Source organism: Homo sapiens, chromosome 11, assembly GCF_000001405.40.
Source record: "Homo sapiens chromosome 11, GRCh38.p14 Primary Assembly".
NCBI lineage: Eukaryota > Metazoa > Chordata > Mammalia > Primates > Hominidae > Homo > Homo sapiens.
Genome location: NC_000011.10, coordinates 12,102,729 through 12,129,080, shown reverse-complemented (window position 1 = coordinate 12,129,080; position 26,352 = coordinate 12,102,729). Strand labels below are relative to the sequence as shown.

At 48.7% G+C, this 26,352-nt stretch overlaps 1 protein-coding gene across 18 annotated transcripts in view, besides 6 other annotated features; it reads right to left on the bottom strand.

The window, feature by feature from the left end:
- MICAL2 (microtubule associated monooxygenase, calponin and LIM domain containing 2) overlaps positions 1–18,491 on the bottom strand; it is a 251,551-nt gene extending 233,060 nt beyond the window's left edge. For 16 of the 18 annotated variants that reach the window (NR_144419.2, NR_144417.2, NR_144420.2 and 13 more), the window contains exon 1: positions 18,355–18,491. The gene's annotated coding sequence lies outside the window, so the exon portion shown is untranslated. Of the gene's footprint in view, positions 1–12,164; positions 12,367–18,354 lie in introns of all 18 variants that reach the window. The other 2 variants (NM_001346293.2, NM_001346297.2) reach the window with 2 other exon arrangements.
- Positions 12,408–12,552: an enhancer, noted in NCBI's record as "145 bp enhancer 176/177 fragment used in the MPRA reporter construct; PK_construct_4235". NCBI's record gives its function as "activates an SV40 promoter by MPRA in K562 cells {active_cell/tissue: K562}" and the evidence as "EXISTENCE:reporter gene assay evidence [ECO:0000049][PMID:23512712]".
- Positions 12,471–12,488: a transcriptional cis regulatory region, noted in NCBI's record as "GATA motif; enhancer activity is reduced when this motif is scrambled". NCBI's record gives its function as "necessary for full MPRA enhancer 176/177 activity {active_cell/tissue: K562}" and the evidence as "EXISTENCE:site-directed mutagenesis evidence [ECO:0005528][PMID:23512712]".
- Positions 17,882–18,585: an enhancer, noted in NCBI's record as "H3K27ac-H3K4me1 hESC enhancer chr11:12132043-12132746 (GRCh37/hg19 assembly coordinates)". NCBI's record gives its function as "activates a minimal SCP1, AML or CMV promoter by ChIP-STARR-seq in naive H9 embryonic stem cells {active_cell/tissue: H9 hESC(naive)}" and the evidence as "EXISTENCE:reporter gene assay evidence [ECO:0000049][PMID:30033119]".
- Positions 17,882–18,797: a biological region, named in NCBI's record as "H3K27ac-H3K4me1 hESC enhancer GRCh37_chr11:12132043-12132746".
- Positions 18,128–18,797: a silencer, noted in NCBI's record as "silent region_3161". NCBI's record gives its function as "represses an Ori minimal core promoter by ATAC-STARR-seq in GM12878 lymphoblastoid cells {active_cell/tissue: GM12878}" and the evidence as "EXISTENCE:reporter gene assay evidence [ECO:0000049][PMID:35858748]".
- Positions 24,845–25,345: an enhancer, noted in NCBI's record as "NANOG-H3K4me1 hESC enhancer chr11:12125283-12125783 (GRCh37/hg19 assembly coordinates)". NCBI's record gives its function as "activates a minimal SCP1, AML or CMV promoter by ChIP-STARR-seq in naive H9 embryonic stem cells {active_cell/tissue: H9 hESC(naive)}" and the evidence as "EXISTENCE:reporter gene assay evidence [ECO:0000049][PMID:30033119]".

Here is a 26,352-nt window from a genome sequence, read left to right as displayed (position 1 = left end):
AATAAGGCAAAACAGAATGTGTTACAGAATGATCCTGCAGAGAGGATGGACATTCTACCCTGACCTCAGAGATTAAGAAGGCACTTACAATAATACTATAATATAAAAATAATATAAGAATTGTTAACATAATAATAACTCTTTCAGAGTGCTTGCTATGGGCCAGGCACTGTTCTAAGTGTTGACATAGCTTCTCTGATATTCTCATAACAACCCTATGAAGCAAGTTTGCAGATGACAAAACTGAGGCACAAAGAAATTGACTTCTATCTTGGACTTACATGGCTGGTAAGTGCTGGAGCCAGGATTTGAACTTGTCAGGCTCTGCTCCTTTTGGGAAACCAAAATGGGTTTCAGATAGACTCTGAGAGGGTGGCTGAAAGGCTCTGATAAAGCCTGCAGGGCTGAGTCATTGAAGAAAGGTACTGTTTCACCCACAGTGTCTCCCACCCATGCTTTCCCCACTACATTCACACTGCCCCGATCTGTCCTGGAAATTGGCCATGCCTCTGCTCTCCCTGCACCTCTTTGTGGGTACCTAATACCAAGGGAGACTGATATGAGAACCTATATGTCAATGTTTACATTTACACAATGGAACACTCATGGATTAATCCCAGCTCTGCCATTTACCAGCTATGTGACCTTGTCAAGTCTTAGTCCAGGGCTTCTGCTTCCTCATCTGTAAGATGTGGTTAACACTTATTATCTTGGGCAGTTATTGCAAAGATGAAATGGGATGTGTCTAGTGCAGCACCTGGCATGTTGCAGTCTTGATAAACAACTGTTAAATAGGAAGACTTTACAAAGGATTTCCATTGCAAAATCATTTTCTTCAAGGTAAGATCTGGTGGTAACAGTAGTACTTTTAACTAGTATTCACCTGGTTTTCATCTGCCACTAACCTACACCCACAACATGGATGATCTCATTTAATCCTGAAAAGCGCCATTATTTTCTTCATTTGACTTGGCTTCAGGACAAGAAAGGATGTCCCTAACACATTAATTTTACACACACATACGTATATGCAGACAGAGGGACAGATAGTAGAGCAAGACAATATTTTTAGGCACTTATTATATGTCAGGTGCTAGTCTAAGTATTCTACATTCAGTAACCCACTTCATCCTCTTGAAAACGTGCCTGAAATGGTAAGTACCATTTTATCTCCATTTACAGATGTGGAGCTTGCAGCACAGTGAGGAAAGTGTCAAATGAGTAGACTTTTTTAGTCTACAGTGGTCATCTCCTCCTGAATCTCTGCTCCCCTGTCTCAGCCGCCAATATCCTATCCCCTACAAAGCCACTAGGGAGATCTCCCCACACATGTCACTCCTCTGCTCAAGAGCACTCAAAGACTCCCTACTGCCTAGTCAAAGACCCCCAACAGGTCGAAGAGGATCAACTGTGGGCTCAAGATCCCAGTAGGATCTGGCCTTGCCTCCTTCCCTGTGCTCCCAAAGTCCCAGTGACAGGGTGAGTCAGTGAAACCTTCTCTAACCACTCTGTTTAAAATTACAGCCCTCCCCGAGCTGCTCCCCTCTCCATGCAGCACACACCATCTCCTTCCCTGCTTTGATTTTCTCCACCATACCTCTCATCACCTGGCCTCCCACGCATTTAGCTCACTTGTTTATTGTCCCTCTCCCCTTCTGGGAATGTGGCAAGGGATGTTATCTTGTTTTGTTTTTTTCCCTGCTGCAACCCAGCACTGAGAGCAGTGCCTGCCACAGAGTAAGAGCTCATAAATACCTGCTGAATGAATGAATGAGCAGACATGTAAAATGCCTAAGAAGAAAATGTCCCCATAGAGCAATGGTGAAAGAATGGCTCCAGGAGGCTGGAGGCTAGAGATGCCTAGACTGAAATGTCCTGGAGCTAGACCCTTTCTTGCCTATCTTCCTGAGATTTACAAGAGTTCCCTGTGAGACCCTGGGCCTTCATCCTCCCATCCCTGTTCTGAAGTTAAACACACTCCAACTCAATCTCTCTCTCATTAAAGCCTCTTTGCATCTGTCCTAAACTCACCTGCCTAGCCTCATTTCCCGCTGCCCACCTTCAAAGCAGGCAATTCCCCATTTCTCTTGGCCTCAACACCCACTAGAGATGCTCTCTTCTTACTCCCAACTTATCCATCTGCACTGCAACTACCCATCAGGATCCAGATCAAATGCTGCTGCTGCCGCCACCTCTGCTCCCTCCTCCAGGAAGCTTTCCAGGCCCTCCCTAGCCCACAGAAAACACTCCCCACACCCACCGCTGCCTCCTTCAGGCAGATGGACATTAGTCATGAACTACCTTGTGGTTTTTCTTCTATGATTGAGCTGAACTGTTGCGAAAATCTCCTGTTACTTAATTTTTTTTTTTTTTTTACACACATAAGCCTTGCTTTCCCAAGCCCACTGTAAATACTTTAGGAGGAGAAGTTGAGCCTTATGCATCTTGTCATCCCCACAGCACAGAGCCTAGGGCACATAGTAGGTGTTCAATAAATGCTTCTTAATTGCCCAGGGTAAATAAGTCACCTCCCCAATCAGGTCACTTCCTCAATTATAGGTACCTGGACTGGCCACTCCCAAGAGGCTGCATTTTTTCTTCAGAGCCAGCTGTGATCTCAGTTACCTGCAAACCTCACCATGGGCCTATGTTTTCAAAGGATGTTAGACCTATTCTAATCTCACTCCACTGAACTGGGCAGACGAGATGATTTGTAAAGCATCTCAGGTCTGGCAAAGCAAAGTACATACTTCTTCCAGGCAAACCCAGAGATTCAGAGCTTCCAATCTCCTTAAATACTGGAGTTCACAAGAGGAAAAAACCATGGTGTAAGTTTTAAGTGACTGACAGCAGAAAACCAACATGAGGCTCAGGTGCACGCTTTGAGCACCAGCTATCACTAAACCGAGATTACAGTTTACTGTAATGGTCCTAAAATCCCACATGACTTCTGAGGGAGAGGCCCTGTTTACTACAGACCCTCCATGTGCTGGCCTATGCCAGGCTCTGCAGGAGGGCCTCCCTGAGTCCCCTCTGCAAGGTAAGTGGGCTGGGACCAGCCAGCTTTACACCTGAGGAGCTGAGGCCCAGGTGGGTAGGAGGCTGCAGAGCCCTGACTCAAGCAGGTGAGTCACTCACTCCACATGGCCTCACCAGTTCACATTAGCCAATCAGGCATCCCAGATTATCTGTTATTTAAAGAAAAAAAAAACTGAATAAGAAATACTTGCACCGGATTCCAAAGTCAAAAGAATACAAAAGTATTCAGAAAAAGTTTCCCTCCTACTCCTGTCCCCATCTACCTACCACGTCCCCACTCTAAAACAGGTCACCACTATTATCAGTTGCTTGTGTCTGTTTCCGGACCGTGATTATGCATATATACACAAATATAAATATGTGTCCTTTTGTTTACATTAACTGATAGCAGACTAGACACACTTCTCTGCACCCAGGCTTTATCTTTTAAAGGACTAGACTTGGGACAGGGCAGAGAGATAGAGTGTCTCTACATAACAAAAAAAAGATGCCGGGCACGGTGGCTCACGCCTGTAATCCCAGCAATTTGAGAGGCCGAGGCGGGCAGATCACGAGGTCAGGAGATCAAGACTATCCTGGCTAACATGGTGAAACCCCGTCTGTACTAAAAATACAAAAAAATTAGCAGGGCATGGTGGTGCATGCCTGTATTCCCAGCTACTCGGGAGGTCGAGGCAGGAGAAGCACTTGAACCCAGGAGGCGGAGGTTGCAGTGAGCCGAGATCGCGCCACTGCACTCCATCCTGGGTGACAGAGCGAGACTCCGTCTCAAAAAAAAGATGTACAGCTATGTGAAAAGCCCATGAAATAAAGAGAAATATTCTGGAGAACACATGGGTGAGAAGGGAAGAACTAAGGCATAGAGATACGATGGAAATGGACCCCACTGGGCTGCTGCTGATACAGATCCCAGGCTAGCCAGAGATGAGCTCTGGCGGGTGGGGCTGAGATCAGACACCCTGAGAGCGCAGGAAGCCCCAGTGGCTAAAGGCTAAGCCTGGCTTTGCAGAGAGTTTCATCATCTAGAAGAGAGAGGATGTGTCCATAGAAACAGGGACTAACCTAGTTCCCTAATTCCCACAACAATGGTGGAATGGGTTAGTGACCAGAAGGACACAGGAACTGTGGAGGAAAAACAATCATTTCCTGTGAAATTAGCAAAAGACCAAGAAGGGGAAGTTGGTGCTGGAGACTCAAAGAACACAGACTTCAAGTGGCTGGGAGATCAGAAGAGCTGCTAGATGCGAGGTGGAGGAAGTTAATGACTTGGACTCTGAATGCAACTCCAGCCAAACAATTGAGGAGACCAGGACAGGGGAGCAAAGAACCAACACTGGAATGAAGAGTAGAGTGGAGATAGGGGTTTAGTGTTTTTGTTTTGTTTTTTAAAAAGGATATTTAGACATTTGCAATGACTTCAAGTCCCCTAGCCCGGGAAAGTGACCTCCCAGAGCACGGAAAACGTTCACAGATGAGATGCTAAGCTGCCTGGTGCAATCTCTGGGGAGCAGCCCAGGAACAGCTGAAAGCAACCTTGGAGCCCTCGAGGAGCTGAGAACACGTAACGTTAAGGCTGTTCATGTCCTTTTTGATGAAGCACTTGATAGTAGATGCAGAACTGCAATGGGCATGGCCTATCTAGCTTCAGAAAGGCGTCTTAGGTCAGAGAAGCAAAAGGACAGAGACTAGGCTAGGGGCGGCTTCAATCACTCTTCCCAAAGTCAGTCGGTCAAAGATCGCAAGTCCACTGAGGGGAGGTCTCCAGGAGTGTGACAGAGGGGTCCCTTCGATAAGCATTTATCATGACTTGGGTGACGCTGTGGAAGGCATACTTAAATAGGATTCTGATCAATGGAACAGGGCTGCACTGAATTTAACAAGTTGAAACTTAACAGGAATGATCATTCTGAATCAAGCAGGAGCAAAATAGGAGGCTCTGCCTTTAAATTCTAAAGCCACACAAGTTTAGGACAGGGGAGAAGCAGCTTAGCAACAGCACATGTTAAAAAGACCTAGTCAGCAGTAACGTCTGTGATGTGATGCTGCTGCCAGCAAAGCTCATAGAGTCTTGGGCTGCATTAAGAGAAGCAGAATGTCCGGAACTGGAGGTGATAGCTCCCTTCTTCTGCTGTCCTCATACCATAAATACAATATATGGTCTGGACACTGCCTTCGCTGTATAAAAAGATCTGAACAAACTAAGGCATGTTCAGAGGAAAACCACAGAGAAGGTAAAAATCCTGAACCCACACTGTGGGTTGTTAATCTGGAAGAAGATGCAGGAGAGAAACAGAGGGCTGTCTTTAAATAACGTATTTCACTGATCAGAAATGCATTTTTCCCATTATAAAATGTCTGAAAGCAGAATGTGTCTTAAAACCCCCTGAAACCTAACGATCTCTCCCGGGATGCAGCTGTGGCATAGCTGTCACCGCCTCACATATGGAAATTTGACTCATTCCTGGTGGCATATCTGAACAACCATGATCTAAAACATTTCAGGAGCCAATACTTTTAAGGACCATTTAAGGAAGGAATGTGAGTCCTGGTTGTTAACAAAAAAACTTTCATTGATGCCTTCTGGTAAAATCAAGAAAACACCAGAACTGACATAATGGGTGTCAGCAGCTGGAAAAAATTCCAGGGACAAGAGAGATGAAGAAATACATCCCCACCTGACTAGAAGAGAACAGTGAGTCAGAAAACCATGGACATTGATGAATCTCAGTCAAAAAGTGATTCAGAAGAGTTAGATTCTGAAAGCGAAGTTTTAGAAATGCCTTAACCAATTTACTTTTATATATATGCAAGAGTGATATAAAATAAAAAAAGTATGTCTAAAATCTTAAAAAATTCAGAAAATATAGAATAAAAATTTTAAGCAATGGCAAAGCATTGTGCCACAGTTTAATTGGCAGCTCTTTTTCTTTCTTGAGGGTACATGAAATAATGGTATATCTTTCAGTTGATGGTGTTAGAGATTTGATTAAAAAAAAACAATTTCTGAAGAGCTATTGGGTGGTAGACAGATTAGACCTACTCTCCATGGCACCCAAGGGGAAGAACTGGGACCAAATGCCAGAAGCTATAGGAAGCCATCAGGAAGGAGGAGTTCAAAGACAGGATGGATCACCTCCCACCTATAAACTCAGGCTAAACCACCACTGTGGAGTCAAGCATCCAGTGGGATTGATGATAAGGCTCTCCCAGACCTGCAGTTCCAAGGTTTATGAGAAGAACTTCTCACCAGGAAGCGAAAGGTGGCCCATCGTTCTTCACTGCACACACAGGTGCTTTGACTGAGCCATTCCCTTTAAAAAGTCATTAAAGGCAGGCCAGGCGCGGTGGCTCACTCCTGTAATCCCAGCACTTTGGGAAGCTGAGGCAGGCAGATCACTTGAGGTCAGGAGGTTGAGATCAGCCTGGCCAACATGGAGAAACCTTGTCTCTACTAAAAATACAAAAATTAGCCAGGCGTGGTGACACATGCCTGTAATCCCAGCTACTCGGGAGGCTGAGGCAGGAGAATTGCTTGAACCTGGGAAGCAGAGGTTGCAGTGAGCCAGGATCGCACTACACTGCAGCCTGGGTGACGGAGTGAGACTCTTGTCTTTAAAAAACAATTAAAAGTTATTAAAGGTAAAAGGCACTTAGGGGCCAGTACCGAATGAGAGGCCTGCGGCAACAAGGAACCCTGCCCACATCTGTGCTCCAAGGCTCCTGTGGGCCAATTCAGGAATGAGCCAGAGGGGAAGAGGCCACCTGCAGGCCACTATGTGCCAGGCACCATGAGAGGTGTGCTACGCCCATTACCCCATTTAATCCTCACAACCTCCCCGTGAGGTAAGTAGCATCACTCCCATTTTACAGAGAACAAACCCAAGGTTCAGAGATAGTATGTGTGTGGCTTGTCCAGTGTTTACAGTGACTGAAAACCCATGGTCTGTCTGTGACAGCATGCTTCAAATTGAGAGTACTCCAAAAATCTTGGCTGACAGAATGAATGCACTGAGCAATCAATTTATCAATCAGTGAACAAATCAGCTTGTTCTCATATGGGTAGCACTGATCCTAGGAGAAAAAAGAAAGCAAGCCCATTTCAGTGCCCCACCCCAAATCCCATCAATACCTCCCATCAATAGCACTAAACTCATTACATTTGCTGCTTGCGGGAACAATTTATTCCATCACATAAAGCAAAAGTGTCCCTGAGACATACATGGAAGAGAACAGGTGCCAGCCCCGCTCAAATGTCAAAGCTGAAAATGCACCAGGCTGTGGTGCCTCCCATCTGCCAGCTTAACACGGGAGCAGGCGGAAGCAGAGCTCAGCCTTTATCCACCTCCCTGTGGCCACGATGGCCAGAGGGCTGGGAGGCAACCAACCCCCTACCTGCTCCACCTGTCCAGGCCATTCAGTCCAGCTCCAGGTTTGCCAGCCTCTGCAAACTCTCTCTTCAACTAGAGAAGGAAACTCAATGTGCACACAGGAAACCCAGGGCAGGATGCACTTGAAGGGGATATTCAGGTGATTGTGAGGCTGTGCAGAGGAGAGAATCAGCATCATTCCAGATGATGTACAAATGCTCTGACAGCCGCTGACTCCTACAGAGCCAATTCTTCCAAAGGCGCTTTCTTTGGAGGAGGTGGTCAGCTGGGTTCCTGCACCATCCCAGCTTTGCTGCCTCCCTCACACACAGACAGGGAACTCCTGCTCCTGCTCCAGCAGTAGCCCCCAGAGGAGCTCAGCACCTCGACTGCCCTATTTATTCCCCTCAAATTGACCTTGAGTCAGGAGAAGATCCGTGTGAAGAGCTTAGCCCGCAGCGAGGTGGTGAAAGTGAAGCAGACGCTGTTTGCTACACAGAGTCAAGAGCCACCAAAGCTCAGACAGCCACACTTGGGTGTACAAGCTGCAGAATGTGACAGATGTCCCATATCCTAAGACCCTAACCAGGAGTTCCAAAAAGGGCTGCCCTCCTGATAAACCAAAGACAACATTTTGCTTGCAGACTCCCTTCACAAAGAAGGCTGTGGGTCAAAAGCCAGGATACAGACAAAGTCTTTTTGGGGGCCCAGCCTTACTGCCCCCCACCCTGTTCCCCACAGCCCTCCTCAGTCCAGGGGAATGGCAGCTGTCTGGCAGTGTGCACCTCCCGTGAACGGAGGGCAGTGCCCTGAAGGATGACTCTGACTATCCCTCTCTGACAGCTTCCCACAGTCCGCTGGGTTCAGTCCACACCCACACCGCCCCCAGAACTCAGGGCTCTCCATGCCTCAGAGCAGCCTGATTCCAGCCTCAGCTTCTCTAGGCAGCCCTCACGTTTCTACCACATGGTACCCTGACTGTGCCCTCACTTTTCTACATCTCTTTGTGCTGTTACCTCTGCCCATCTCTGCCTATGGAAATCATACCTATCTTCCAATACCCTTCTCAATCTACAAACTCCACCTCCTCCAGGAAGCCTCCCCTGGTTCCCCCCTACTGTGGGACTCTGTGGACATTCCATACTCTGTCTCGGTGTTCAGCCACAGGTGAGCTTGTCTAATGCACCTCCCTCCATGAGTTAGAAGAGCAGGCAGCTTCCACCAGTCATCACAGGGACTCTAGCCCAGCAGCTGCACACTGTGAGCTCCGAGCCTGGGCCTATGGCTGTTGATGCCCCCAGCACCCTATTTGCCATCTCTCAGGATTCCCTCCTCCTCCTGTTCCCAGCTGACTCATCCTATGCCCCATCCTCTTAAGGTTCAGCCCTTGGCTGACAGCTAATCAAAGATAAACTCATCTCTGTCAACATATGGTCCTTCCCAGTTAACTTCTGTATTTTTAACAAAGGGCTTCTGCGGACAAGGGCTAGGAACAAAGGTGGGAATTCTAAGCCCCAAGGCTCTGGGGGAGGTGTTCATGATAAGAAAAGATCTTGGGACTGAGACCAGCCAGTGCTACAAGCGTACACAGCATAAATTCAAAGAATGTGGGAGGTTTTAGAAAGGGAGGATGAGGCTCTGTCCTTCGGTACACGCAGCCAACTGTAAGCACAGCTGCCTTAGACTGATCAAGGACCACAGCCTGGTGGGAAATGGTAGATGGAAAAGAGACCTGACTCTGACCTGGCTGGGTGACCTTGAGCAAGAAACACACCTCTCTGTCCACTCAGCATCAGGAAGCATCCGAGTGTCAGTTTCTCCATAGGTAAAACAAGGTGGCCAGGATGAGAACTACACCATCCCATGAGGCCCATCCAACCTGACATCCCAAGGCTCTGTGACTCATGGCCTCTGTGGCCTCCTCCCTCCTGGGAGGTCAGTGTCATTTGAAACTACCCCACTCTCAAGCCCCACCTGAGTCCAAAGGGAAAGGGAGAGCTAGAGATCTCCCAGCCAATCCGCAGGCGGCCTATGAGGGCGGGCCTCAACCACTGCAGGTGGAAAGAAGGGGCAGAAGTGGGGGAAAGGTGTTGCATTCTATGCTCTCATTCATGCCATCTGTCTCGGCCTAGACAAAAGACAGTCAGCCAGTTGCCTTCACCTCCTTGGCCTACCTTTTTTAGAGATTACAACTGTCTGCTGAATTTAAGTGCTGCTCTAAAATCAGGACATATAAGGTCTCTCAGGCTGGATTTGAAGGGTTTCATAATGGATAGAGCATAAGAGCGATGAAGAATTAAACTTGGAGGCAATCTAAGCTGTATTGTGCAGCCATGCCAATTAAAGATCTTTAAAAATAGCCTCTCTCCTCTCATGCCGTAGATGAAGTTTCAGCAATAAACAGACATCTGCTAGGAGCTTCTGAAGAGATACAACATAAACACCCCAGAGAGCAGCCATAAACAGCCCACAGCACTCTCCAGGCGGCAGGCAGCATCCTGTTCACGAGGGGAGGAGGGGGGAACCCAGAGCCCAGGGAAACGGAGAAGAGGGTTCAGGGGTCAAGGGCAGAGGAGGAGGTGGTATCCAGTGGCTGGGAAGGATGGAGGTTGGCTCCCTACAGGAGGAGGAAGTAGTGGGGCCAACTCAACTTGGTAGAAAATGGAGAACTGGCTGCCTTCTGCAGGGAAAGAAAAGCTCAGGAACCCACCTAGAGGATTTTCAGAAAGCCATCCAGAGGACTCCATACCAGTGTCATTCATTCTGGCAATGGGTCACTCGTTAAATGTGAAAAAACAAAACAACAACAACAACAAAAACCCTGACATTTTGGAGTGCATATCCAGGCAAGGGACTTCACAAATATTTTAATTTCATCTCCAGATCAAGCTCTTGTAATAGGTATAATTACCTCCTTTATGTAGACTAAAATACTAGGATTCATTAACTCGCCCAAGGCCACAGGGCTCGGATTTGAGCCCAGGTCTGTCTTAGTGCTTTTTGTTTTTGCCTATGTCACCTGCATCCACAACATGCCCCTGAGGTTTATTCTCAGATTCCAGGCTCTTTGAACCCCCAAATCGAACACAAGGGGACTCCTAAAGGAGAGAGCTGGCAAAGTAGAGTGGAAGGGGAAATGGTTAGGCCTTGGCCAAATGAGACAATGGCCAAGTCTCTGCAGCCCTGTGGGCCCTGTCTCTTTACATCCTGGTTGCTTCTTCAGCAGGCCGCAGGAAGAGCAGAAGGGGAACAGGCACCAGGACATGCCTAGACTATGTCTGGAAGGATCCACAGGGGGCTGGGGACAACAGCTGCCAAAAAAGTAAGAACTGAGGGCTGGAGGACAGGGAAAGAAGGGAGATGTACTTTTCATTCAATTTCCTTTGTACTGAGTGGATATCTTACCGTGCATCTATGTGTGCGTGTGAAGGTAAGTCCTATGCATCTATGTATGTGTGGGATGAGTACCACACACATATGTATGTATGTGTGGGTAAGTCACTTTTAAGAAAGCCCAAGATACAAGATAACCAACACGCCCAAGCAAGACCTTCTAGGTCATCTGGTTGGGGCAAACCTGGAATCCAGAAGAAGCCTGAAATTTCACACAGTGCTTCCTCCTACTCCTCCTTCACAACAGTAATGTGTGGCAACTCCAGGCATGTGGCCGGGAAGCTCTCCCGACATGGACCCCATGGTCCCCAAGGCTCCAACTGCATGAGCCTCACAGGACATTCCCTGAAGAAAAAGGCTGAGTGAATCCTCTCCCTGAGGGTCTGGAAAGAGGTTGGAAATCCCCTTGTGTGTTTCTCTATTCTGTTTTCCTTTCATTTAGTCATCAGACAAATGATGTAGCCTCCTTCTTACAAGCAGGGAGATCCTGATCTTACTACCTTTGCATCAGATTGTGCAAAGCCTGGCTGTCCTGATACATGGAGCTGATTTGACAGCAGCCACAGACTCTACACACAGCACCCAACCCCCATTCTGCTCCTTTTGGATGAACAGTTGTCCAATGAGGGCTCAGCAACCAAGCCCCTGGCAGACCCTGGGCCCACTCTGTTTCAGAGGGCAGCTCTTGTTAGTGAGAGCTGCTTCTTCAGTCTCCCCTACACCTCATTATCCTGGCTCCAACACACTATATACTGAGATCCTGCAAAGCTTCACCAGATAAGTCAGTATTCAGATAAGTGGCCAGGGCCAGCCATTCAGAGTCGTGGGAACAAAGAAGTAGTTTCTGCACCTCAACATGTTGGTACTGCTGCAGCAAGGCCAGAACAGGGTGTTCTTAGACTCCCACTCGTGTCTCCAGCATGTGCTGGGCTTCCAGGCTGTGTGCGTCAAGACCTTAGGTCTGGAGATGTCCCAGAAACCTGCTGTTGCAGTGGCTCAGAGGCCAGGGACCACCGTCCAACCCCTTGCTGCCCTCCTCTTGCTGCCAGCAGAAAGAACATCTGCACTAGACATTCTCTCTTGCCCAGCAAAGGAGAAAAACCTGAGCCCCAAACCAGCAGGAAGCACAGCTCCGGTTCTTCTGCCTGCCCTTACCTCTGTAATTCATCAAAAGAAATCTAACCAAGCCTTGGAAGGAATGCAGGTGCCTCAAGGTATCAGGACAGCCACTGGGAGGTGGGGATTTGAGAGAAAGAGGAAGGCAGGGAAATTACCCTGACCCTCAGAGGAGAGAAACATTAGCTCAAATAAAGAACAAACTAAAAATTTCAACCCTAAAAACACCAGCACTATCCACATACGCACAGCTCACTGCCAGACACCACTGAGATGGGCGGTTTGTCCCGTGATGATGGTAGTGATGTTTAGACGCAAAGACAGGTACAGTGCAGTGGTACTTCAGACACTATTCCATACATGGTCATCACAAAAGGCTCTTCATTTGAGACATGAGCAGCTGACAGAGAAGGGAAGCATCTCCAAATCAGACCCCATGGTTGACCCAATCCTGCAAAGAAAGTTTGTTCGTGAACAGAGGGCCAGAGTCACCTATCACTCCCTCGGGCTCTGAATTTCTGAGGCCACGTGATCGATGTTTTAGGAAGAAGAAACCTTATCAGCCCAGGCCAGCCATGCTGTCTACCTTTGGGGAGGGTGTAGGGAGGAAAACAGAAACTAGAGGAGGGAGGAGTCCAGGCACCCCAAAGTGATGGAGCAGGGTGTTTGGCCATTGGGCACTTTCCTGAGAGGACAAGACAGGCCACTGGAGCGTGGAACTTTGCCCTGCCTTGTCTTAGCACTCTGTGTCATTTTGTCTTCCCCTGAGGGCTCAACCTTCCTCAGTTAAAAAAAAAAAAAAAAAAAAAAAAAATCAAAATCAAGAGCCTAACATTAGAAAAATTTCATTTGAGGGATAGCAAAGGAGGAAGTAGAAAGGGAAAGAGGGGCCAGGCGCAGTGGCTCACGCCTATAATCCCAGCACTTTGGGAGGCCGAGGCAGGTGGATCACGAGGTCAGGAGATCAAGACCATCCTGGCTAACATAGTGAAACCCCGTCTCTACTAAAAATACAAAAAAAATTAGCTGGGCATGGTGGCGGATGCCTGTAGTCCCAGCTACTCAGGAGGCAGAGGCAGAAGAATGGCATGAACCTGGCAGAGCTTGCAGTGAGCCAAGATGGCCCCACTGCACTCCAGCCTGGGTGAAAGAGCGAGACTCCATCTCAGAAAAAAAAAAAAAAAAAAGAAAGGGAAAGAGGGTAGTATTTTCTAACTTTCAGAAAGTCGGGATATGTTCATCGTGGAAATAATGATCCAAGCAAATATCGAAATCCCAATAGTGCTGGGGCTTTATCTGCATGTATAACCGTTCCAAATACACGTATAATTCTGTCTACCTACTTCAAATTGGTTGAAAGAAGTCTTCTTTTTTAAGAAAATAAATATTTGGATTTTTCTTTATAAACATAAAATATTTGTCCTACAAAAAATTTTGAAAAATAGTACTAAAAAGCAAAAGATAAAGGAAAAGATCAACTCTAGCACTGCCATCCAGAGTCAGAAAACTTAAAATTTTGTTAGATTTTGTCCTAGTGCAAAAGGCTAGGCCAGGCATAGTGGTTCATACCTGTGATCCCAGTACTTTGGAAGGTCAAGGCAGATGAGTTGCTTGAGCTCAGGAGTTTGAGACCAGCCTGGGCAACATAGCAAGACTTTGTCTCTACCAAAAATAAAAAATAAAAATTAAAAGCCTGTCTGTGTTAAAAAGGAAAAAAAGAAAAAAAGCCCCAAACAAACCATGTCTTCATGTTGAGGGCTGTTCGCAGGGAAGGGCCATTACTGGATGGGTAAAAGACACCTATCGAGGTGTCCAGCACCCCTAAGGACATCTGGTGAGAGAACCAGGTGTGAAGTCCATTACCAAGAGAAGAAGGTACATCTTCTCCTGCCCTCCTAAGCCTCCGGTCTCCTTCATTAGGTCACCCACAAATGTGCCAGTGGTGGTGCTAACTCTATAGAACAAATTCAGACAAGACACTTGAAGGTTATAAACACTTATTTTCCATCACGACCTGCCCCAGTTGTGGATGAATAGTGATTTGAAGAAGGCACCACAACTTGCCCAAGAGTAAGGCAGGTTAGAGAAGGCTCTGGAAGGCACAGGAGAAGCAGCACTGTCCAGAGACAGAAGGAAGAAGAAAAGATGAGTGGTCTCCACCAAGCCCAGGGCCAGGTTTCTGGGTCATAACATGGTCATTCCTGTGGCAGAATTCAAAGCTTGGACAGAAGTGACCTCAGTCTCCGTCAGCCCCACGTGTGACCTGTGGAGGCCGGTTGCTGATCAAGGCACAAACGCAGCTGTCTCGGCTCCCCACCACAAACCAGCACAGTGAGGGGGAGCAGCAGATAGTTCTTCTATTATTTTAGGATGTTTACAGACCGACGCGTGCTGAGGAAACGTCCACACGTAAGCAAGTCATTTTTTTAAAACCTCTTATCTAAGCACATGCACTGGTAGTCACACAAATCCGTGACTGGGTTCATCAATTCAAAGCACATTTCCTGAGTGGCTATGATACAACTGGACAAATGCTTATGGAGCCTCTGCGTGTCCCAGACACGGCGTTCAGTGCTGAGGATCCAGCACAGCCAAGAGGTGGGCTCGTCTTAAGGGGCTCCCTATGTAGTAGGGGAGATGGGCAGTTAACACAGAGGGTAATGGCTAAAGAGGGGGCGCTTCTCTAAACTAAAACCAGGCATAAAAGGACCAACGGCCTAATGCGGCATACCAACTGGATCCTCGTTCAAACAAACCAACTCTAAAGGTCATTTCTGACACAATCAAGGATATCTGCAGGTGGACAGGTGATGTCTAAGAAGCACAGTTAATTCTGTTACGTGCAGTAGTGAAGTGTGGTTATGCAAGACAACGTCCTTTTTAAAAGAGTTGTATACTGGATTATATAGAGGCCAAATGACATGACATTAGACATTTGCTTTAAAATATCTCAGGAATAAATATTCCTTTCAGAGGGGAAGGGAGAAAAAGAGAGAGAGGAAGCCAACCAGGCATAATCTCAATAACTGTGGAAGCTGGGTAATGAGTATATGGGGCTGATTATGCATTATGAGTTTGTGTATGTGAAAATGTTTGTAATATTTTTGAGAGAGGACTGCAATACATCCTGGTAGATACCCTCATGGACATAGCTCGCATAAAAGCTAAGGAAATACAGAGCAAAGAGCACAGAGGATTTGCAAAACCAGAAAATAAATCTGCCAAGTTTCTGAGTGTTTTAAATGCCATTTCATAGTGAGGTGAGAAGACATGTTCATAAATAATTACAATATAGGGTGAGAAAGGGTAAGTACTGTAGCCCCCCCTCATCTCAGGGAGATACATCCCAAGACCCCCAGTAAATGCCTGAAACCTTGGATAGTACCAAACCCTATATATGCTGTGTTTTTTTCTATACATACAGGAGCGATTAAGTTTTCTTTACAAATGAGGTACCTTAAGAGATTACAACATTAATGATAAAATAGAACAATTATAACAATATACTATAATAAAAGCGATGTAAATGTGGTCTCCGTCTCTCTCAAAATACTATAATATTTTCAGACCATGGCTGACTGTAACCGAAACCTCGAAAGGTGAAACCGCGGATAAGGGAGATGACTGCGCAGCAGAGGAGCTGTGCCTGCCAAGCCTCCAGAGTGCAGAGACAGCCACAGGCTTTTCCTGCTTCCCATAGCATTTAATTCTCCACACTCAAACTGCACTCATACATGCTGTGTGATGCAGGCAAGTTGTAACCTTTTTTGTTGTTGTTGTTACTAAAGACAGCAGTCTTGCTACGTTGCCCAAGGTGGCCTTGAACTCCTGGCCTCACATGATCCTCCTACCTCAGCCTCCAAAGTGCTGGTTTTACAGGCATGAGCCACCACACCCGGCCAAGTTGTAACCTTTCTGGGTCTCAGCTTCCTCACCTGTAAAATGCAGTTAACCCCACTTCTTTAGAGGCAGAATGAAACAATAGAATGATGTAAAGAATGAAACATCTCAGCATGATGAACAGTATTCTCTTCTCTGACTCTTTAAAGAATAGAGACTGTTAGCCCTCAGAGGACATCTAGGATCAGCAATGTTTAACCAAGTTATTCTTTTACCCTTACCACGTCCCGTCCTGCCAGAGCCAAGGCTTCCACCAAGAAGACAAGACCTCTATACTTCAGCAGTGGGAAGCAAAGGGGGCAGGCCCATGGCTGGGAGGCAAACCCAGGTGTGGGTGGAGAGAACAGAAACATACCCCAATTATAGGCAGAGAAGGAATCTGGGATCATATGGCTGCTCCTTGCAGCCTGGGAATGGGCCTCCAATGGCCACAGCCACAACCAGGCATAGTTCTTAAAAGCTGATTTATACTAAAGTATAATGGATTGGTATCAGTTTTCATGATTTTCATGACATCATGAAAATAAGTCATGAAAATCATGACTTATCATGATTTTCTTTTGAAAGAGGGGATGAGCAGAAAGCCAGAGCCCTAGGCCTAAAGGAAGAAGGGGCTGGAGATAAAAGTGATGTCATGTTTTTATAGAGGTATGTTCAAACTGGATTTCAATTACCCCACAACCATAACACTACACCCCAACACCTGCCCCCCCACCCCCAAAAGCCCCACGAAACTAGAATCAGTCCTAAGGTAGAGGTTATTTCAGCTAACACAGTCCTCCTAGACTATACCAGAAGCCAGCTTCTCAGAGGTGAGGCCAGGTCAATGGTAGAAGCAGGCTTCCTTCCAAAATAGCACCCAATCCCTCCCCATAGCAATCTGGCCAACACTATCCACTACTCTTGACTAGGGGGAGGATAAGGGGTTTGCAGGTTGAACAACTTGGCTAACCTGGGTCACTTCAACTGTTTTGCCAAAGAAGCATCCCCTGAAATCCTGGTGGAGAGCATCTTTTCAGAGGCTGGAAGGCTCTAGTCAGCACGCTGTGGGGCCATGGTCCTGCACACAGCACACCACTTCCCACAGCCATGAAACAAGAGCACTGGACTCACACTGACAGGGCCAGGACCTGGCTCAGACACTTGTTGTGTGACCTTGGGCACCTACCATACCTGAGCCTCTTTCCCCATCTCTAAAATGGGGAGGGCAAAACTCTCAGCGTTTTTGGAATAACCATGAAATTGGCTGCAAAAGTGCCACAAGACAGGACCTGTTGCCCAGTAGGCACTTAATAAGTCCGTCTTCTCTCTGCATGAAGAAAGTGAGTTCTTACGGTATTAGAGTCTCCAGGGCATTGCACAGGACTACCCTGGAGACCGGAGGCCCACTTGTTGGGTCGACTGCCACTGGGGAGGGGGAGCAGGACAGAGTAAGTGCAGGTGTCAGGGAACCTGGCACAAACACTGGAGGGCCAATTCGCCTCTGGCTTTTCTCCCGTGGGACCAGCCCACAAGGGGCCTGGCTGGTGACTTCATCCTTCACCAAAATCATTGTAGACTGTAGTTAACAGGCGACAATCACAGCAAGAGAGCCGGCACACTGCTGTAGGCCTGGCGGGGCCCTACAGGCTTCCAAATAAAAGCTCTTTCCGCTTTAAGAACCCAGGCCTCAGAATAAACAATGTGGAAGGAGGCACACTACTCTGGTTTCCACATCCCCTCATCCCCATCCAGTAAAGGCCGTTCCCAGCTCTGCCAGTGAGGCTGGCGGTGAATACAATTTACCCCACCTGCCCCGTCTGGCCCGGCAGCGGCTTAGACGCTGTGGGCAAGATCCCACCTCTCCCCGGGGCCAGCCAGGCACCTACAGGGTGGGTGCCGCGGACACCCTGCGGGGGTGCTCCTGGGCCTGGAGCGAGAGCGGGCTACTGGGGATGCGGGAGACGCGATGCAGAGCGGACAGTGCCGCGGCCCCTCGGACCACTGCCACGACCCCATCCCGACTGGGCTCCAGCCCGCGGCCAGCCAGGCCACTGACATTTGGCCCAACTTAACTTCCTGTTACTAAAGAGGGAGGGGACAGGGGAGGGGGAAAAGGGCGCCCAGTGAAGAGCTGGAACGGGGCGTGCAAGGCTCGGAGCCCCAATCCTGGGAAGTTTGGGGATGGTCTTCTGCCAGGTGACAGGCAGCACTGCAGGCGCGTCACTCCCACCCCGTTTTGGCGCTTGCGATTTTCTAGGCTTGGAACTGCAGGGTTTGGGTGTTGCGGAGCGGAGTAAGAGGTAGTTCGGCGTGCCGGTGGGAGGCTTTTATTGCGTTCTAATTGGTTCAGAGGCCGGCCAGGGCCGCCCCGGGCTTCGTCGCAGCGCCACCTGCTCACTGTGCGCCCCGCCGGGTGGGTTTGAGGCGGGGGATGCTGCGGCCGCACCTGACCCTCCCGGGCGTTGGACACGGCGCAGAGTCCAGCCGAGGCTGGCACGGTCCCCACCCGCGCCCGCCCGCCCTCCCCACCCTGAGGCCAGCGCCGCCCCCGCCTTACCGAAAGTCGCGCGGGCTGCCCGGCCCCGGGTCAGGCCTGCCTCGGCCCTGGCCGCGGGCGCAGCGATCGGGCCCCGCGGGCCACTGACAGAGCTGGGAGCGAGCGAGGCGGCCCGGCGCAGGCTTAGCCAGCCGAGCGCCTGCGGTTCTGCGCCGCGCGGTGGACCGGGCTGGGGAACGCCCCCGACAGCGGCGCGGCCAATGACAGGACAGCACGGAGCCCGCCCCGCCCCCGTGGGGCCGGCTGTCACCGCCGCTGCCGCCGGCGCACGTGGGCTGTAGCCCGGCCCAGAACGCAGGGAGTGGCCGGGCGCTCCCACCCTGACCCGCACAGGGCGGAGACCAGGGGAGGGCTGCTGGGAGTGGGGCGTGGTGGCGCTGCGAGATGAAACCCCCGGTGTTGGTAAGCGGGTATCAAGGGAGCGGCGAGGGCCTGGGCCTCACGCTTCTTGGTCTAGGCGGCTGGAAAGCAAGACACGGCATCCCCTTTTGGACATGGGGGAGCAGCATGGCACTTCTAGTACCGACTGTGTACGTCCTGTGGACCTCCCTCTTTGCTCGGCTCCTTGACCACCCTGAGCTTCCGCAAACCTCCTTGCTAGCTAATAGGATCTTCCCCTCACCTGGCCTTGCTTGGCTAAAGCTAGTGGGAAGGGGGCGGTGGTGCAGACTACCTGTGTTACCTTGGTCAGATCACCTAAACACCCTCTACCTTTGGCTGTCATATCCCTATCTTAATCTCTGCTCTGCCCACCTTCCCGGGTTACCCTTACCCCCCACAGCTCCAGAGAGCAACATTCACAGACAACACAGTGTGAATGGAGTGGGGCCTAGTGAGCAATCAGAAGCACTCTGTAGACTATAACTACTGTAAAACACCTTGTGTTTAAACGGCTCTTGTAGCAGTTATCATGAAATGGGGATCTCCATGGGCAGGAACCATGTCTGACTCACCTCTGGAACCCAGGGCCCATCACAGGGCTTGGCCCGGTGTAAGCATCAATAAGTGTTCTTGGAACTGAGCTACCTAGGCAGAGGAAAACAGGCAGGCTTGAGCAGTGAGAAACAGTATTGTGGCTCCAGGCTGCTGGAATTTCCCCAGCACAAGACCACCTCCAGGAGACACCATGTTCCCTTGCCAGACAAGTGCAAACAGAACAGTTTGCCTCCCCAAACCTGCAGATTATTATTATTTTTTCTCTACTCTACTTCTTGCCATGTGATCCTACTCTCAGCCCTTTGGTGTTTACCAGGTATTGTCCTACCTGGCAGCTCTCTTAGCTCTCTCTTCAGAATTCAATCAACTTCCTGTAGATGAACTTTCCAGCAAAAGCTGTTCCTACCCAGTTTGCAAGGCCCAGTCAGCTTGTACTCTCAGAGGGCCAGCACTCCACTCTGATGGAAATCTGCCTGTGATGCCAGCCTGGGGAGTGCCCTTCACACGTGATCTCATCTAAGCCTGGCTTGACAGGTATGTATTGTATCATCATCCCATTTCACAGATGTGGAAACTGAGACCAGTGAGGTAAAGCAACTGGTCAACATCACATGGTTAGTAAGTATCAGAGTCCGGATTTGAGCCAGATCTGGTTCCAGAATCTACATGCCTAAACACTATGTGCTGGGGCCTCTACAGCACTGCCCATGCCTCTAGGGTACTTGACAGGTCAAGTCTAACCCTGAAAGAGCTGCTCTAGGCCTGACCCACTCCCAGTCCATCCAAACAGTCTGTCAAGCTCAGGCCAGGGCACTGTAAGGGAGAGGAGACTCCACTGGCCTGGCCCTACCTTATTTAGAAGAGTGATACAGGAAACCCAAGGCAGTGAGGAGCTTCAGGAAGCAGTGTTACATCTGTCCCCACCTTAACTACACTGGACATAAAGCCTCTTGCTATTGGCCTGGACCTGAGACACCCATGTGGTGGATAGAGATGGAGACAGAGTCATTCATTCATTTAACAAACCCTACTCCGAACCAAATGTGGTTCCTGCACTCATGTAACTTATAATGCAACAGATGAATAATCAGAAGTACACAATGCTGTCCAGACATGGTGGCTCAGGCCTGTAATCCCAGCACTTGGGAGGCTGAGGTGGGCAGATCACCTGAGGTCAGGAGTTCAAGACCAGCCTGGCCAATATGGTGAAACCCCGTTTCTACTAAAAAACACAAAAAATCATCTGGGCATCATGGCACATGCCTATAATCCCAGCTACTCAGGGGGCTGAGGCAGGAGAATTGCTCGTACAGCGAGACTCCATCTCAAAAAAAAAAAAAAAAGGAAGAAGAGGAAGAAGAAGAAGAAGACCACAGTGCTTTGGGAGCTGTATTCTTTATTACTCTTTTTTTTTTTTTTACAGTTTTATCACCTTACCAATAGCACAACATTCTCCCTTCAGATTAAAACAAGCTTAATGCTATTTCAGGAGCACTGTGGGCCAACCAAGTTTAACAAAGATAGCATTGCTCAGCACAGAAGTTCAAGCAACTTAAAAATTAGAACTTACCAATGCATTCCCAGAACCTCTGCCTCCTCTCCCCTACCCTACTCCCAATCTTTTTAACTCAGGGGGCTCAGATAAGAAAGACTCTTGCTAGGTGGGTGCATCTGAGGGCTGAGAGGTGAGCTTTTCCTTGGACGCAGGGCAACCTGGGAACTGAGAAGGGTTAACTGCATGGAGGGAGATAAACCTGGGGACTTCTTGAGCCAGTGGCCAGAGCCACTCACCACCTCACACAAGCCACCCTTGCTGACCATCTTCCTGGAGAGAGAAGAGGAATGGGTTAAGGATGTCACAACTCACCTTCCTCTGGACTAAGCAGTCACCATGGGATGTCCTGCTGGGCTGTGACTATGTCTAGGAGTTATACAGCTCAGCTCTTCAAATGAAAGATCTAAAGTTAGGGCAAACTTTAGAGGAATATTTATCGAATCCCTTACCTAGCAGATGAAAGAAAAGAAGAGGCCAGGCATGGTGGCTCATGCCTGTAATCCCAGCACTTTGGAAAGCTGAGGTGGGTGGATCACTTGAGGTCAGGAGTTCAAGACCAGCATGGCCAACATGGTGAAACTCCGTCTCTACCAAAAATACAAAAATTAGCTGGGTGTGGTGGCACACGCCTGTAATCCCAGTTACTTGGGAGGCTGAGGCCAGAGAATTCTTGAACCCAGGAGGTGGAGGTTACAGTGAACCGAGATCACACCACTGCACTCCAACCTGGGCGACAGAGCAAGACTCTGTCTCAAAAATAGAAAAAAGAAAGAGAGAGAGAGAAAAAAGAAGAAGGAAGGGAGGGAGGGAGGGAGAGAAGGAGGGAAGGAGGGAGGGTAGAAAGAATAAGGAAGAAAGGAAGATAAAGAAAAGAAAAAGAGGCCGGGTACAGTGGCTCATGCCTATAATCCCAACAGTTTGGGAGGCCGAAGCAGGTGGATCACCTGAGGCTAGGAGTTTGAGACCAGCCTGGCCAACATGGTGAAACCCCATCTCTACTAAAAATACAAAAATTAGCTGGGCATTGTGGTGTGCATCTGTAATCCCAGCTACTCAGGAGGCTGAGGCAGGAGAATCACTTGAATCCAGGAGGTGGAAGTTGCAGTGAGCCGAGATCGCACCACTGCACTCCAGCCTGTGCGACAAGAGCAAAACTCCATCTCAACAACAACAACAAAAAAAAAAAAAAAAAAAGAAAGAAAAGAAAAGGAAAGAAATGGAGGCCCAGAGATAGAAGGATGCTTCTGATGGTCACAGAGTGAGTGAATAAGTGTGTTCCAGGCATGCAATGTCCCTTTCTCACTCTTAGCATGACAGGCAAACTAACTCAATATCTTTATGAAGCAGGCTCAATAGTCTATATTTAATAGCCACCTCTTCCCCAGGCCACTTTTCCAGGATGCTGCTTGTGGAGGTTGTCTGGGAGATGCAGATGGCCACTTAGCACGAGAGGGAGGAAGAGAAGGAAGGCCCAGATTCATCCCTAAATATAGCTTCATCTCAGACGGAAGCAATGGCCTCCACAGCACTATGCATGCCTCCCCCTGAAAGAACCCAGCTGGTGCTCGCGGGCATCATCGTTTATCCACCTGATTGTGTTCAGAGGACTGTGGGGGTGGCAGTTCTGGCTTCCTTTTATTTCCAGCCTAGCAATATGCTTGAAGAGAGGTCAGAGTTGAACTAAGTGGACTCCTGATGGAGATTTTCTGTAATGAAGCCAGGGTGCCCCTCAAGATATTTGAATGGCAGAGAAGACAGTTGCACCGGGCTCTGGATCTCTTCCTGAAGGCCATAGATTCCAGAGAAGGGCAAAACAGTGAGTGTGGTTCTCACTGGCTTCCTCCCCAAGCTGCTATCAAAGTGCTTTGGTCTTTCGGAAGGAAGAGGAAGGCTGGTATCTAGACAGAGTCCAGTGACCTGGTTAAATGATGAGAAAGGGCTGATTGGCCCCGGGCACCTTGGGAGCTGTCCTTGGAGGACTTTCTAAGCCAGGAAGTGGAAACATTTGTATCTCCCACAGACAGACTCAGCAGTATGTGAGAAGCAAGATCCCTGGGGCCTTGTTCAAGCTCTTCATCATCTTTATAGTCCTCAGAACAAACCGCTTGTTCACGGATAAAACATCTAAAAGTTTTCAAGGTCACTAAAAACTCATCAGGCCTACCTCGCTTTAAGTGGCTTTTCCAGAGGTGGTTTAGAGAAAAATGGCACCTGTCTGGGACCTGCTGAAGTCAGTAATGCCCTCGGAGGCACCCCAGCACTTTGGTGAATGTGTGCACGTTGCCAGCAATGGTGAGAAAGTCAGTGCTGGAGAGCAAAGAGCTGTGGCTGCAGGCAGGAGGTGACATCCCAGCCAGATGTAGCAACCAGAGCAAACAGCGATGGAGTGGGTGTGCAGAAGAGAGGGGAAGAAACATAGGGTCATGTAAGTAGTCTAGCTTTAGCCCCAGATAGACTGGGGATTCACAGACAATTGTGAATTCCAGGGGCATAACATAATTCTGACCTCTAGAGATCAACTGATGCCACAAAACCCAGAGCACCCTCATGGCAGGCTGGGCCACACCTGCAGCCTGGGCAGATTCCTGTCCACATAAACCCGAAGCCCATTCCAGAACTGCTGTAACTGATGGATCTTGGGAGACAGCTTTCAACTTGTACTTCCAAACCCTTCCCAGAACAGCTGGCTAGAGGCAAGGACAGGAATATTCTTCTCTGTTCTAGTCCAAGGAGGGAACTCAATCAAGTTCATCTGTCTATCCACCCATCATGTGTCCACCCCAGAAATATGTACAGTGCAGTTAGGCTGGAGGTGTCATAGCCAAGCTATTAATAGGACAGACTCTGAAGTCAAGATGACTGGGTTTGAATCCCAGTTCTGCCACTTATTAACTGTGTGACCTTGAGCAAGGGAGTTAACCTCCTTGTGCAGCAGGTAGTAGGGGAATAGTAATGGGGAGATGCATGCTAGAACAGCGCCAGGCACATAATAAATCATATGTAAGGGTTTGTGAGTAAATATACTTGGTGATGATACCACTAAGGGTATGGAGAACTAGAGTCTGTAGGAGGCATCAATTCTGTAAGCAACTCCTGGTCAGGGACTTGCCTAGTCCCCAGCCTCAGACTTGTGTGTATGTTATAAAGGCAGGTACTATTTTCATCCACTCCTTAGAGATGAGAAAATGGGATTTTGGAGAAGTGAAATCACTGGCCCAGAGTCTCCTAGGGGCCAGCATCTGGCAAAATGAATCGAATTGGTGGACTTCCAAGCCCGTGCTCTTTACAATTCCCAATACTGCCTCCCCAGATCTATCTGGGGTGCTGGGGGACAGCGAGGAGGCTGAGGGGAGTGGGAAGACTTCACAGAGGTGGCATCCCTTCCACTGAGCCTTGAGAGATGAGTGGCAGGCAGATGGGAAGGAGTATGGTGAGCGCTCAGGACAGGCAGCAACTGAAACACGGAATCAGGGATGAGGGGCAGAGCCAGGAACTGCAAGAGATTCCTTCCTTCATTCATTGAGCAGATGCTGACTGAGTGCCTGCCATCTTCCATGCATTATTCTTAGTGGAGGGGATGCAGCAGGGAATAGAACATGAAAGTAATCCAAGATGAAGCTAGAGAGGTGGCAAGAACCACACAGGGGACTGTGGAAGCTAGTTGTTGTATGTGGAGGAGGGAATGAACTGGCCAGCTCCTCCATTCCTCCTTGTTTTGGTAACATCCCTGCCCTCCTGGCTACAGAACTGGACACAGTTCCCAGGCCTGGTGAAACATCAAGCCCCCATGGTGAACAGTCCAACAGCCAAGCGCCTGGTCCAAGCAGAATTCGTTAAGACCAGTGTGTAGATACACAGTGAGAGAGGCTCTCTTTCCATGAAACTTAGGGCTACCAAGAATTGTGTGCCAGGTGCAATGGAGGAAACCTGACCACAAGAAGAGAAAGAGAGAAAGAAACTCCTATAACTGAAGACTGCAGGGGTGAAAGCTCCAGCCACCTTACTCTGCAGTTGTCTCAGCTCTGCCCTCCTCTCTGTCAGCTTCTCTTCAGACTGGTTTTCCTCATGGTAGCAAGTGTCATTGCTCTCATTGCCACACGCTTCCTTATCCAAAAGAATATTTCTGGCCCAGCATTCCAAGCATGGTCCTGAGCTTCATCGGATTGGAGTGGGTCACATGCCCAGTTGAACTGGTGCCATAGCCAGAGGAATGGAATGTGCTGATTGTCCATGCCAGTCAAGGCCCCCTCCTAGAGCTGGGGTGGACTCAGCTTCCCTGAGACACCTGGGCTGCATGGGAGAGGGGGAACACCTGAGTGAACACTGAGAGCAGTTAGGAAGGGAGGAAGGACATGTATACATATGTCAGGTAGATCTAGCACAGGCAGTTGATTTCCATATATGCCACTGGCTTTCTAATGCAAATATCTCGGACTCTGCCTGAGGGTTCTCCCCTAGCCTCAGCAGTAAGCTCAGCCAATGCACAGGGCAGACCAGAAATACAGGTGATTTAACACCACAGGGAGCAACCTTCAACACAGTGTGGGCAAGGGTTTGTGGATATATACCCCCAATTTCTCACCCCTCCGGGTAAGACATCTTGAAGGTGAGTTCTCTATCTCTAGCTCTGTCTCAGAGAGCCCCAGCAGGACTGGGCTCCAGGTCTCACAGCAGTAACCTGTATTGGCTTCCTCCTGCCACTTCTCCATCACACTTCCCCGGTCCCTTACTGGTGCTTCCTGGGGTTACTTCCCAATAAACTGCTGACATTCAGACTCTTATCCCAGGGTCGGCTTTTGCAGGAACCCACGTGAAGACAGGAGCAACTCATCTGCGCCCTTGGCTTTAAAACTCTTCAGGAGGCTCCTCCGTGTGGTATGCAACATTGTAACCTCAATGCACATTGCTTAAACAGCACCCAGCAGGTGGGAGGTGTCAGGAAATGTTTGTTGAAAGAATAAAAGGAAACTATTTAAAAACAAACAAAAAATAGACTAGACAAGTGCTTGTACCACCCAGCAACTATTTCGCTAATGAGCCTGAGCCCTAGTTATAGACCTGGGCCCATATGAAATTTCGGAGGAATTTATACTTTTTACCTCTGGGAAAGTTACATCATCCTGACCTCCTCCCCTATTATCCCCTCCCCACCCCTACTTTCACACATCAGCCCTCACATTAAGCTGCTCTCTAAGTGCAGTACATTTTGTAGTGGATTAATACTTTTAAATGAAAATTAAATTCCTACCTACTTTTCTCTTAAAAGCTTTCTCCTAGGAACAGCTTAGATGCCAAGAGACAACCTAGGGCAGCACTAGCTCTGATTGGTTCAGAAGGGATGTTCTCCTCCTTTTCAGGTGAACGAGGTCCACAGGGGCATTCCAAGCATTACTGTGATGGAACCAAGTTCCCAAATAGAAAAGCCCAAACCAGCTTCACTGGTCAAATTCCCTTGAAAAGAGTTCAACCTCCAACAACCTGGATTCCAACATGTGTGCTCCCTAATG